Source organism: Homo sapiens, chromosome 13 (genome assembly GCF_000001405.40).
Source record: "Homo sapiens chromosome 13, GRCh38.p14 Primary Assembly".
Classification (NCBI taxonomy): Eukaryota; Metazoa; Chordata; class Mammalia; order Primates; family Hominidae; genus Homo; species Homo sapiens.
The window spans coordinates 20,120,761-20,133,928 of record NC_000013.11 but is presented as its reverse complement, the minus strand read 5'-3'; the positions used below and the strand labels follow the sequence as shown (position 1 = coordinate 20,133,928).

General features: G+C 48.0%; 2 annotated features.

Moving 5' to 3' along the window:
• Positions 5,585-5,804: a silencer, noted in NCBI's record as "silent region_5149". NCBI's record gives its function as "represses an Ori minimal core promoter by ATAC-STARR-seq in GM12878 lymphoblastoid cells {active_cell/tissue: GM12878}" and the evidence as "EXISTENCE:reporter gene assay evidence [ECO:0000049][PMID:35858748]".
• Positions 6,255-6,304: an enhancer, noted in NCBI's record as "active region_7416". NCBI's record gives its function as "activates an Ori minimal core promoter by ATAC-STARR-seq in GM12878 lymphoblastoid cells {active_cell/tissue: GM12878}" and the evidence as "EXISTENCE:reporter gene assay evidence [ECO:0000049][PMID:35858748]".

Here is a 13,168-nt window from a genome sequence, read left to right as displayed (position 1 = left end):
CTGCCCCTCTGGGGTCCACCCTGGAAGGCCCCACACTCAGCTGGGTGTCCACTTCCAGAGGTTAATGTGTTTGCTAGGAAAAAGAAAAAACAATAATGCTTTCTTTCATTTCCCCAAAGAAAGTATGTGCCCACTTTTCCTAGTTTCTAGGCCAACAGACAACACATCTGTGGGTGCTAGAGGTGGCACCAGGGCAGAACCTAGGGCACCTGTTTGTCACTCTCAGTCACTGCCACCTAATGGAACTAAAAATCGTGTCACAGGGTTGCCTGAAGGGAGGATGGTAATGTGTTCACTGCATTCTCAGATGTTAAGACATATCCAATCATAAAAATCACCATTAAACACCATAAAATTACAAAAAAAGCGTAGTGTCATGAATATTAAGGGAGTCCCACACTTTGGAACCAGTAAGGTGTCGACCCAGGTCTGTCACATACTAGTTGAGTGACTTCTAGACAGTTTCCCTCTTTGGGCCTCAGTTTCCCCTTGGTGAAATGGAGATGACACCCCAGTCACTGTAAGGGGTAAGAATACTTCATGATGTCAGAATCAAATTGATATTATTCCAAGATCAGTCCAAGGGGGAGGGGGCCCCAGACTCCCCTCAGCTCCTTTCACGTTGGGGACGTCAGTGACTCATAGTTTGTCCCCACACACTCCCAGTGGGCCAGGCTCATGAAGGGGACCCAATCTGTGAAAAAAAACAAGGAGCATCACCCATAGTTACTGAAGGGCTATTCACAACAGCAAAAAGGTGGAAGCGACCCAATGTCCATCCACAGATGAGTGGAGAAACAACATGTGATCTGTCCATACAATAAATAGATTCAGCCTTAAAAAGGAAGGAAATTCTGACACATGCCACATCGATGAGCCTTGAAGACATGTTACTAAGTGAAATAAGCCAGGCACAAAAGGACAGAGACTATATGGTTCCCATTCATGAAGTATCTGGAGGGGTCAAAATCATAGAACAGAAAGCAGAATGGTGGTTGCCAGGGGCTGGGTGGAGGGGCAGGGTGGGGGAGTGTTTAACGGGGGCAGAGTTTCAGGCTGGGGAGATGGAAGAGTTCTGGAGATGGATGGTGATGATGGCTGCTCAACAGTGTGAATGCACTTAATGTTGGCAAATTTTATGTTATATGTTTTGATTCTGTTTACCACAATCAAAAATTTTTTAAATAAAAATAGAAATTGTTTAAAAAAAAAAAAAAAGGAAATGAGCTACAGTTTCTTTGCACCTCAGAGCCAGTGGGAATGAGGCTGCCATGCTACTATGTTTGTGCTACCTTGGAGGCACTTAGGACATAATAACTCTTATTTTTTTTGTCAGCTTGGCTGGTTGTTTTGCTGTATGTACTACTTTCCCAGTTCAGGGAGAAATTGTTTCTCTGTTGTGTGGACTGAAGACGCTCGTTTTTCAGGCTGGCTACACAGCGGGCCCGCTCACTATTGTCTCATCACTGCAGCTCACCTCCTTGGCAGCCCTGCCGGGATTCCCTCTCTGTGGATTCTGTAGAACACCTCATAGGGGCAGTAAGAAATTGTACCCAATGCTTGGAATGAGCTCTGGATTAGAGGCTTGCTGAGGGCAGCTTTTGTAGCCACATGAGGTACGCTGCAGGAGGTGGCTAGTCAGGCTTGAGCATGGCAGGAGAGGTCTCCCCCGACCCCACCAGGAATGTCAGGCGACCATCAGGTGATGGTCAGGCAGTTGTCACACTCTCTCTAAAATAATAACTGGTCACAGCCAGTGCCAGGGAAAGGCAGTCTCCCAATAAACAGAAACACCGGAAACTGGTGATCACAGCTTCCCAGTAAGCTCTCAGGAGTTGCGTGAGTAGCAACTTCTGTAAGGTTTTACATCAGAGAAGGAATTTTTCCAAGCCTTGTCAGCAAGGCCATCCCCAAAACACTCCGCACCCCCTTCCTCTAGAGAAAGTATGGATCACTTTCTCACAACCTGTTCTGTTGATCGTCTGCTTCCCCGCTCTAGCTTTGTGGCTTTTGTGTTTGCCTGGGTCGAACTCTAGGCACAATGCTGGCACGGAGTAGGTTCTCGATAAATATGTGCTGAATGAATGAATGAATGAATGCCTACCTGGTTAAACACTGTGGGAGTCAGACAGTCACATCCAGGCCACCAAATCACACACTTGCAACCTCTGCTCTACTAGGTTCTGATAGGGCTGATAATTCACTCAACAGACACAGGCGCCAATGAGCTGACCTTTCTCCAGAAAAGTTGGTACTTGTTCATCTACCTTTGTGCAGCATTCATGGGTGCGATGCACACAGAAGTGGACCTGACGCTTCCTGCTTCCCACAGAACTGCGGATTATGTTGTCCAGTAATGGGCTGGGGGAGAGGACCTGCAGCCTCAAAGGGCTTCACTGGGCTCCAAATACCAAATAAGGAAATAGAGACTTTTACAGAATATAGGAGGTGCCCTTCCTTACGATTTTTCTTGAAAGTTCAAAGCAAATTAAAGAGGGGAGGGGAGAATAACCCTCAAAAGTCAGTTATTCTCAAGCATGAGCTCAGCAAGCCGTGAGAAAGCTCTTAATCCTGGCTACAGCCTGAGTAGACAGGTACATTCCTGGCGCCTGGAGGAGGCTGGCAGAGGGGTGAGAGTGGAGAGGGAGCTGAGGCACAGCCCCCAGGTCCCCCAGCCGCAGCCTTAATGGGCCTGGCCTCCCCCACTTCCCCAGTGGCGCCTGTGGGCTGAGGGTGCTGAGGAACTATATACATGCACAGCGGGTCACTTGTGGCAGAACTGAACAGAGTGGTCTTAAAAGCAGCCCTGAGCTACAAATTTTCACTTTCAGGGTCTTCGAAAACCATACAGAAAGTGCAGTAATCAGAAAGCACATCCCACCTGCATTTTAGCATTTACCTCATGTGTGTGTGAGTGCCTGTATGTATATGTAAGTGTGTGTATCTGTGTCTGTATGTGTCCATGTGTGTGTGTGTTTGTATGTGTGAGTGTAAGCATGTGTCTGTGTGTATGTATATGTGTGTGTTTGAATGTTTCTGTATGTGTCGGTGTATGTGTTTACGTGTGTGTCTATATGAGTGTATGTCTGAGTGTATCTGTGTCTGTATGTGTATGTGAGTGGGTGTATCTGTGTGTCAGTGTATGTCAGTGTGTGTGACTGTCAATGTGTGTGTGAGTGTAAATGTGTGTGTGTGTGTCTATGTGTGTATCTGTGTGTGTTTGTATCTGTGTGTGTCTATGTGTATGTGAGTGGGTATGTGATATGGTTTGGCTGTGTCCCCACCCAAATCTCGTCTTGAATTGTAGCTCTCATAATTCCCACGTGTTGTGTGTGAGAGGGGCCTGGTGAGAGATAATTGAATCATGGGGGTGGTTTGCCCCATACTGTTCTCCTGGTAGTGAATAAGTTTCATGAGATCTGATGGTTTTATCAGGGGTTTCCCCTTTCGCTTGGCTCTCATTTTCCCTCTTTTCCTGCTGCCATGTAAGATGTGCCTTTTGCCTTCTGCCATGATTGTGAGACCTCCCCAGCCACGTGGAACTGTGAGTCCGTTAAACCTTTTTATTTATAAGTTACCCAGTCTCAGGTATGTATCAGCAGCATGAAAATAGACTAATACAGTGTGTCTGGGTGTATGTTAGTGTATCTGTATGACTGTGAGTATACATGTGAGTGTCTGTATGTGGGTGTGGGTGTATGAGTGTGAATCTGTGTCTGAGTGTGTGTGTGAATGGGTTTGTCTGTGAGTGTGTTAGTATATCTCTGAGTATGAGGGTGAATGTATCTGTATGAGTGTGTCTGTGTGTGTGTCTATGTGTCTGTGAATGTGTATGTGTGTGTATCTCTATGTCTGTACATGTGAATGTGTGTCTGTGTATGTTGATTGTGTCTGTATCTGAGTGTATGTGTGTGTGAGTGTATCTGTGAATGTGTGTGAGCCTGTGTATGTGAGTGGGTGTCTGTGAGGATGTTAGTGTATCCGTGTGTAAGTGTATGAGTGTATATGGGGGGTATGAGTGTTAGTATGTGAGTATAGGTGTTTAAATGTATGAGTGTGGGGGGGAGTCGAGTGTATGTGTGTGTGTGTACATATATGTGTGTGTGTGTGAATGTGTGTGGGTGTATTTGTGTACACACTCTGTTCCTTCTCATTGTACTCTCAGATTTGCTCTTAAAATATTTGGGGCTCAAGCCAGACAAAACATGAGGAAGATACGAAACCACAGAATGGCAGCGTGGTCTGGAAATGAAGAACTTTTGTTTGTTTTTTGTTTGTTTGTTTGTTTTTTGAGACGGAGTCTCGCTCTTGTCCCCCAGACTGGAGTGCAATGGCGCAATCTCGGCTCACTGCAACCTCTGCCTCCCGGGTTCAAGCGATTCTCCTGCCTCAGCCTCCAGAGTAGCTGGGATTACAGGCGCCCGCCACCACACCCGGCTAATTTTTGTATTTTTAGTAGAGACGGGGTTTCACCATGTTGGTCAGACTGGTCTCGAACTCCTGACCTCGTGACCCGCCAGCCTCGGCCTCCCAAAGTGCTGGGATTACAGGTATGAGCCACCGCGCCCGGCCGGAAGAACATTTTTCTTAAGAAAAATGAAAACTTAGCATCACCGATGGGAGCCCGAGTCTCAAGGCTTCTCTAACCACACGCACTCCAGGGGTAAGCTCCAGAGCCGCCTCCGTCCTCACCACCGCGATGGTGGCGGCTGCACAGGTATGGAGGTTTTTCAAAATTCACTAAACTGCATCATTAAAATAAATCTATATTGTTATATGTAAATTTTGTGCCAATAAAGTTGAGTTCAAAGGAAACATACATATTTGCGTGTGCATATATGTAAATATATATCGATGAATACAAACCCTAAACTTTACACAAAATCGTCGACTCTTCCGTTCCATATATTTCTCTCTCTTTGATTCTCAGCAAGGTTTTTATGGCCGAGCCGGTCTGCGGGCGGGAGGAACCCCGCAGGATGGGGAACCGGGCTGCTGCCAGGTGGCCGCCGCCGGGTAAAGGACCACAGCTGGAGGGGGTGGAGTGGTCCCGTGGCTGCTTTAACAAAATCCCACAGATGCGGTGGTTTACACGCCGCACAGTACAGCTGCATTCCCACAGAGTTCTGGGCGTCCGGAATCGGCGCCACCTGGCTGCAGTCAGGTGCGGGCAGGTCCCGGGCGCCGCGGTCCTCCAGCCTCTGCCCCCACGGTCGCCTCCTCTCCCTCTCCTACGAGGACACTTTGATGACATTTAGGGTCCGCCCGGATCATCCAGGACAATCTCCCTAACTCTGGACCCTTAGCCTGGCCACATCTGCAGAGCCCCGTGGGCGATAGAAAGTGATGTTTGCAGGGGCAGGGATCAGGGCCTGGGCACGGCAGCCCGCCACTGGGGGTGGGTATTCTGGGCTGGATGGCACTGTCACCCCCCGCCTTGAAAGTCTCGTCCTCCCCCACGCTTGGACTCGTGGCGCTGAGCAGAGACGCGGGCGCTCCTGGAATCGACGGGAAGCGCCCCGCTGACAGGCCTGCGGCGGGAGACCCGAGCCCCCAGCGCCACCCCAGGGCGGAGTCCCACCCACCCTGTCTACACAGAGATTCAGCTAAGAGCCTGCACTCGAGTCCAAAGTCAGGCCGCGTGAGAAGCCACGGCGGCCGCAGGGGCCCATGCGGTGAGGTCAGCGCCGGCCCCACAACCCGACCGCGGAACCCGGGCTCCCCCTCCGCCCGGGCCCTGGCCGGCCCCGCTGGCCCGCGGTGAGGAGACGGCCTTCTTGTGCCTGCGCGATTCAAACGCTGGAGCTACTCTAAACAAGGCCTGGCCACCCCGGACACGCCGAGGGAGCTGGCGGCGGTCAGGCTGAAGGAGAGGGGCCGTCACCGCCCCGCGGGAGGCCGCGGTCGCACACTGGCGGGCAGGGGACATGGGACACCCAGCTGCCGGGCAGCAAAGAGGGGCAAACTCGAGAGTGGGAAAGTAGGCGATGCTGACTTAGCGGCTGCGGGGGAGAACGGCCCAGCGGAGGGCGCCACGCCACGGCCGGTGCCGGGAAGCTCCTGTTCCGGGGCTGCTCTGTCGCCCGCCGGATGCGGACGCGCACGCTGGGCACCTCCCCTCGGCCACCAGACCTCACCTCACAGCTGACCTCACCCTCAGGGCCCCAGCATTGACCCTGAGGGACGCGCGGGCTGGCCCTGCTGCCCACTCGGGGTACGCCCCCGAGGGACACGCCCGCCTTCGCTCTCGCAGGGCAAGGTTGCTCAGCAACTTCCCCAGCCCCATGGACACCCGGGGCGGCATCCTGATGTTTCAGTTGGGAGGAACCAGAGAGAATCAAGACTTGGTCCAGGTCCTGCACATGGCTCACGCCTATAATCCCAGCACTTTGGGAGGCCGAAGTGTTAGGATCACTTGAGTGCAAAAGTTCAAGATCAGCCTGAGAAACACAGTGAGACCCCGCCTCCAAAACAAGTTTAAAAAAAAATTAGCCGGGCATGGTGATGCAACGCCTGTAGGTAGTCCCAACTACTAGTGAGGGTGAGGAGGGTGGGGGGTGTGGAGGCTGCAGTGAGCTATGATGGCGCCACTGCACTCCAGCCTGGGCAACAGAAGGAGACCCTGTCTAAAAAAAAAAAAAAAAAAAGAAAGAAAGAAAATAAATAAAAAATAAAAAAAGCTTTGGTCTGAAGGAAAAAACGTGGCCTAAAGACTTGCTTGAGGTCACACCAGGATGCAGAAAACATAAGCAGTGGCTCCGGGAAGGACTGTGGGTTAATAAGCACGGTTGGTAAATGGCAGACCCCCAGCTGAAGCCCAGGTCCTCAGATGCAAGCCCACAGCTCCTCCACTAAGCTGTGACTAACACTAGAGCCAAGGGAGCCGCAGGGGTACAGAAGCGATGCTTGCCATCAAGAAAGGAGGTTTGGGTGTGGTGAGAGGTAGAGGAGGGGGGTGAGAGGAGAGAAGGGAGGGGGTAGGGTCAGAAAGGCGGGTCGGCACCCCTACCTCCTCACTAACAGAGCAGGCAGAGCTCTCAGCCTGGGCATGGTGGGGCCCACTATGGTGAGATCCTGCTGAAAATACCCTGCGCTTTGAAAACAGCCGCATCCAGAAATCCAGGATCACTGGGAGGGGATTGCAGTCCAAAGAGATGACGCTGAGCAACGATGCTACCCACGTTTGTGTGAGCTGAGCACTTCCTAAAACTAGAGGCTCCGTTTCATAGTAGCCTACTGCTTCTCTAATTTTAGCTTACCCAAGAGTCACTTGGAGGCCTTGTTAAAAATAGATTCCTGGGGCCAGGCACAGTGGCTCACGCCTGTAACCCCAGCACTTTGGGAGGACGAGGCGGATGGATCATGTGAGGTCAGGAGTTTGAGACCAGCCTGGCTAACATGGTGAAACCCCATCTCTACTAAAAATACAAAAAAAAAAAAAAAAAATTAGCTGGGAGTAGTGGCAGGTGCCTGTAATCCCAGCTACATGGGAGGCTGAGGCAGGAGAATCACTTGAACCTGGGAGGCAGAGGTTGCAGTGAGCTGAGCTCGTGCCACTGCACTCCAGCCTGGGTAGCAGAGGGAGACTCCATCTCAAACAAACAAACAAACAAACAAAAATGACAGCCAATAATGTCCATTATTTACAAGGCAAAGACAGGCACGAATATACCTGCAACCTAGATAATTCCCAAAGTTACTTAACTGCTTCCTTTTTAGGTGGTTGGTCGTCTGACATTTTTGGCAAGATGACCACAGAAATGAAGTGTGCCCTTCTCAGTGCATCACACCAAGGGGTGCATGATACCATAGTGACTTTGTTAAGCACACCTTGGCTGTTTGGTTACGGGGCATCTTCCCAGTTTCTCTACTATAAAGCTAACAACTTGGGGAAATACTCTGAGATTATGCAAAGCCTGTCTCCTCACAATTTCCCCCTGGGTTTTAGCATCCATCAGTTGCTCTTGCCCACAGCATTTTTCCTGGGGGCTTTGCCCACGGCTGCTTTTCTGTTGCTCTCTTTCCTTCTGTGTCTGCTCACCGGACCACTCCTTCTCAGCTGCCTCTGTCTCCATGTGGGCTCACTATGGGCTTGTAGACAACGAAATCCCAGGACTTTTACTGATAAAATATCTAACATTTGTAAATGCACAGTTTACAAACTGCTCTCACTTACACTATCTCATTTGATTTCCTCACATGAACAGCTGCCCAGAAAAGCCTCTGCATTCTGGGACCCCTGCAATGGGCATTTTTCATCCAGCCTCAGTGGAACATCCAACACTGTCCTCGCTGAATCATCTTGTTAATTGGGTGCCAGCCCAACTAGTTGAGTCATTTACTGTATTAACTTGGCGTCACTGGAAAATGAAGTACATGGACTTTCTCTGTCATTATTCAAGTCATTGGTAAAAATATTGAACAGGACAGAGCTAAAAACCTGTAAATTTTTATTTTCAATAACACTTTACTATTAACTGGACTACCCAAAGAGATAAAGAAAACGAGTAGTAGGGAGTTAATGAATTATCTTACATGTATTGTTTCTTAGAAATTCTGAAGTCTATATTTAGCCAGATCACATGCTCTGTGACTGACAATAAATTCCTAACAACGGCAGAATTGTTTGTCTTCAGTTACTTTCTCTGGCAACTGTACTGGCTACCATGTGATAAATGAAACAAAAATCTCTTTGAAAATATGCATATATCACTATCCTTCATATAGAAAATAAGTGCATTATCTTACAACATCAGAGCAATTGTAGCCTACTGTGTGCCTGGTGAACAGTAGGTGTTCAATAAATATGTGTTGAAGTAACAAATGAATGGATGAATGAACAAATGAGTGAATGACTGTAAAACATAGAAGGTAAGAGGTTTAAAAGCACAGGTTTGTTTTTTATTTCTTTTTTTTTTTTTTTTTTTTTTTTTTTTTTTTTTTTTTTGAGATGGAGTCTCACACTGTTGCCCAGGCTGCAGTGCAGTGGCGCAATCTCAGCTCACTGCAACCTCTGCCTCCCAGGTTCAAGCAATTCTCCTGCCTCAGCCTCCTGAGTAGCTCAGATTACAGGCACTCACCACCACACCTGGCTAATTTTTTGTATTTTAGTAGAAACAGGATTTCACCATTTTGGCCAGGCTGGCCTCAAACTCTTGACCTCGGGTGATCCACCTGCCTCAGCCTCCCAAAGTGCTATGATTACAGGCATGAGCCACTGCCCCCAGCCAACCCCACAGTTTTAACTTGCAGCTCCTCCCCACCTTGTCCTCCTCTTCCCAGTGCCCTTTCCCCTACAGCATGTGGCATCATCTAGCACACTACAGATCTGGTTCATTTTGATTCCTGTCTTTAAATAGACCTTATGTATAAGACAAGGGCAGGAACCTTGAGCTGTTTTTTTCACTGTCCTCTCCCCGACACCATGGAGTGGCACATGCCCAGCACATAGTAGTCACTCAATAAGCATGCATTGAATAAATGAATGAATGAATCACACATTTTCACATGTATAAAATATTTTTGAGATCCTTAGATTGGAAACACTAAAAATTATCATGTCTAGTCCTGGGGCTAGCCAACACATATTAAATGTCTGTTTGGAAATAAGGGCTTTGCCTACACAAGACTTTACATTCCATTTAGTTTTTCTATTTTCTTCCTCTTGAACATCATTATTTCTTCTGATGAAACATCTCAGGCTGTACCAAATGGCTTTTCCTTGAAGTAAAGTTAAATGGGTAAATAAATAAATAACAAAATCAACACAACAGCAATCACAGAGAAAAGAATAAGTACAGGCTTGGTGCAGTGGCTTGTAATCCCAGCACTTTGGGAGGCTGAGGCAGGTGGATCACTTAAGGTCAGGAGTTCGAGACCAGCCTGGCCAACATGGTAAAACCCTGTCTCTACAAAGAAATACAAAAAAAAAAAAAAAAAATTAGCCGGGCATGGTGGCGGGTGCCTGTAATCCCAGGTACTCAGGAGGCTGAGGCTGAGGCAGGGGAATCGCTTGAGCCCAGGAGGCAGAAGTTGCAGTGAGCCAAGATCATGCCACTGCTCTCCAGCCTGGGCAACAGAGTAAGTCTCTGTCTCAAAAAAAAAAAAAAAAAAAAGAGCTTAAACTTATAACTATGAGCCTCCTTTTGGTTTTCCAATGTGGCCCTGTATAAAACCCCTGAAAATACAAAGATTAAATTGTGTGCTTTCCTAATGTTCTCTTTAAAAACCCTCCTGTCTGGGGATGCCCTGGATACACAGTTTCAAGTTGTGAGACCTTCCTGTGGATCTGGGCTGAATAACACTACTGAGAATAGGATAAGAGGGAAAATGTCCTACAATGTCCCTCTTCCAACACAGAATGTATTGAAAATAAATTTGGGTGTCTCCATTCTCCTCCACCCCAAGTGTGTTCGGCAAATGCTCCCTTCCAGTCTGGAAAGCATTTCATGAGTTAAGAGTCACAGAGGAGCTGGAAGGAGCCTTGGAGCTGGCCTCATCTAGTGGTCTTATTTTGTGGAACAGGGACAGCAGAGGCCTGGAAAGAGCACATCTCATTTTATCTATTTGTAACTAAACAAACACTTATGAAGACTCTATGTGCTAGGCACTCTTCTGGCACTGCAGATACAGGAGTGAACAAAACAAAGTCCCTGGGGAAAGGACAGTCTTTTCAACAAATAGTGTTAGGAAACTGGATATCCACACACAAAAGAATGTGGATGCCTCATACTATATGCAAAAATTAACTCAAAATGGATCAGGCCGGGCGCGGTGGCTCACGCCTGTAATCCCAGCACTTTGGAAGGCTGTGGGTGGATCATTTGAAGTCAAGAGTTCGAGACCAGCCTGGCCAACATGGTGAAACCCTGGCTCTACTAAAAATACAAAAATTAGCTGGGCATGGTGGCAGGTGCCTGGGAGGCTGAGGCAGAGGAATCTGTTGAACCTGGGAGGCAGAGATTGCAGTGAGCCGAGATGGCACCACTGCATTCCAACCTGGGCGACAGAGGGAGGATCTGTCTCAAAAAAAAAAAAAAAAATTAAAGGCCTAAATGTAGAAGCTAAAACTGTAAAACTCTTAGAATAAAACAAGGGGAAAGCTTTATGACACTGGATTTAGCATCAGTGGTTTCCTGGCTACAACACCAAAAGCACAAACAACAAGAAAAATAGACAAATCAATCAAAAGTAAAAACTGTTGTGTATCGAAGGACATTATCAACAGAGGGCAGCCCACAGAATGAGAGAAAATGTTTGTAAATCATATATCTGATAAGGGTTTAATATTCAGACTATATAAGCAACTCAACAACAACAACAAACCCTCAACTACAAAAAACAAAAAACTCCTAAACTCAATGACAAAAAAATAAACAACCCAATTTTTGTTTTTTTGGTTTTTTTCTTTTTTGAGACTGAGTTTCACTCTTGTCACTGGGGCTGGAGTGCAGTGGCACAGTCTCGGCTCACTGCAACCTCTGCCTCCCAGGTTCAAGCAATTCTCGAGCCTCAGCCTCCCGAGTAGCTGGGATTACAGGCACGTGCCACCATGCCCAGCTAATTTTCATATTTTTAGTAGAGACGGAGTTTCACCATGTTGGTCAGGATGGTTTCGATCTCTTGACCTCGTGATTCCCCCACCCCAGCCTCCCAAAGTGCTGGGATTACAGGCGTCTGCCACCATGCCCTGCTAATTTTTGTAATTTTAGTAGAGACGGGGTTTCACCATGTTGGCCAGGCTGGTCTTGAACTCCTGACCTCAGGTGATCTGCCCACCTCGGCCTCCTAAAATGCTGGGATTACAGGCAGGAGCCACCACGCACAACCCAAACAACCCAATTTTAAAATGGGCAAAGGACATGAATAAACAGTTCTCCAAAGAATACATACAAATTGCTAATAAGCACCAAAGATGCTGAATGTCAGTAATCACTGGGGAAAGGGCAAATCGAAACCACAATAAGATACCACCTTGAGCCCATTAGGATGATAGGGTACATTTAGAGAAATATATTTGGTCTTTGTCCCTGGTTCCTAGCACAGAGCCGCTAAAGCCCTTAGAATTTCCTGAGTGATAGTAGTGTCTTTTGTTATTCATAATGAAGCACCTATTGATCACATCTGAGTTTATGCTACTGAGGTGACTTAGGGTGAACCCTTAGATAGCTTCAGGATGGGGTTGGTCACCGGAAAGACCAGGTAAGTAGGAGGTTGGATCCTTCAGCCTCACCCCTAGACCTGTGAGAAGGGGAGGGGACTAGAAATCAAGCTCTAAAAAAGCTCTTGAACAAGCAGGTTGGAAGAGTTTCCAAGTTGTGGGAATGTGGTGCACCTGCAGCCCCCACCTCATACCTTGCCCTGCGCGTCTCTTCCCTCCAGCTGTTCTATGTACTTGAGCTCAGTCAATGAACACAAATTCCCTACAGTATTGGTCTCTGACACCAAAGAACAACATTTTGACAAATTGAGTTTTAAAGATTTAATTGACTCTTATTAGCAATGTATGAAACAGGCAGCCTCCAGACTACAAAACAGAAGGCACTCGGCTGGGTGTTGCAGAACAATCGGCTTTGGTAAGGCAGCTCAAGCAGGAATGAGGAAATCGTGTGGTGAGAAAAGTGCATTGGTTATCATTGGGTGACTTTCTGAGGCGGAGAATAGGGTCTGGAGGCAGGGAACCTAAGGCCGATTTCACGCTGACTTCCTAGAACTAAATCAAAAGGAAAACCCCAACTTTTCACACCTAAGTAACAAAAAAACCGGAGGTAGCCGGGCATGGTGGCTCACGCCTGTAATCCCAGCACTTTGGGAGGTCGAGGTGGGCGGATCACCTGAGGTCAGGAGTTTCAGCCCAGCCTGGCCAACGTGGTGAAACCCCGTCTCCACTAAAAATACAAAAATTAGTCTGGCGTGTTGGCGGGCGCCTGTAACCCCAGCTACTCGGGAGACTGAGGCAGGAGAATCGCTTGAACCCGGGCGGCGTAGGTTGCAGTGAGCGGAGATCGCGCCGTTGCACTGTAGCCTGAGCGACAAGAGTGAAACTCCGTCTCAAAAAAGAAAAAACAAACAAAAAACCGGAGGCTACTCCCTTTGCAAACCCCCACCCTTTTCTGCCTGGCAGATGGAAAATTGAAAGTGTCTCTGAGGGCAGCCAATCAGACGTTTA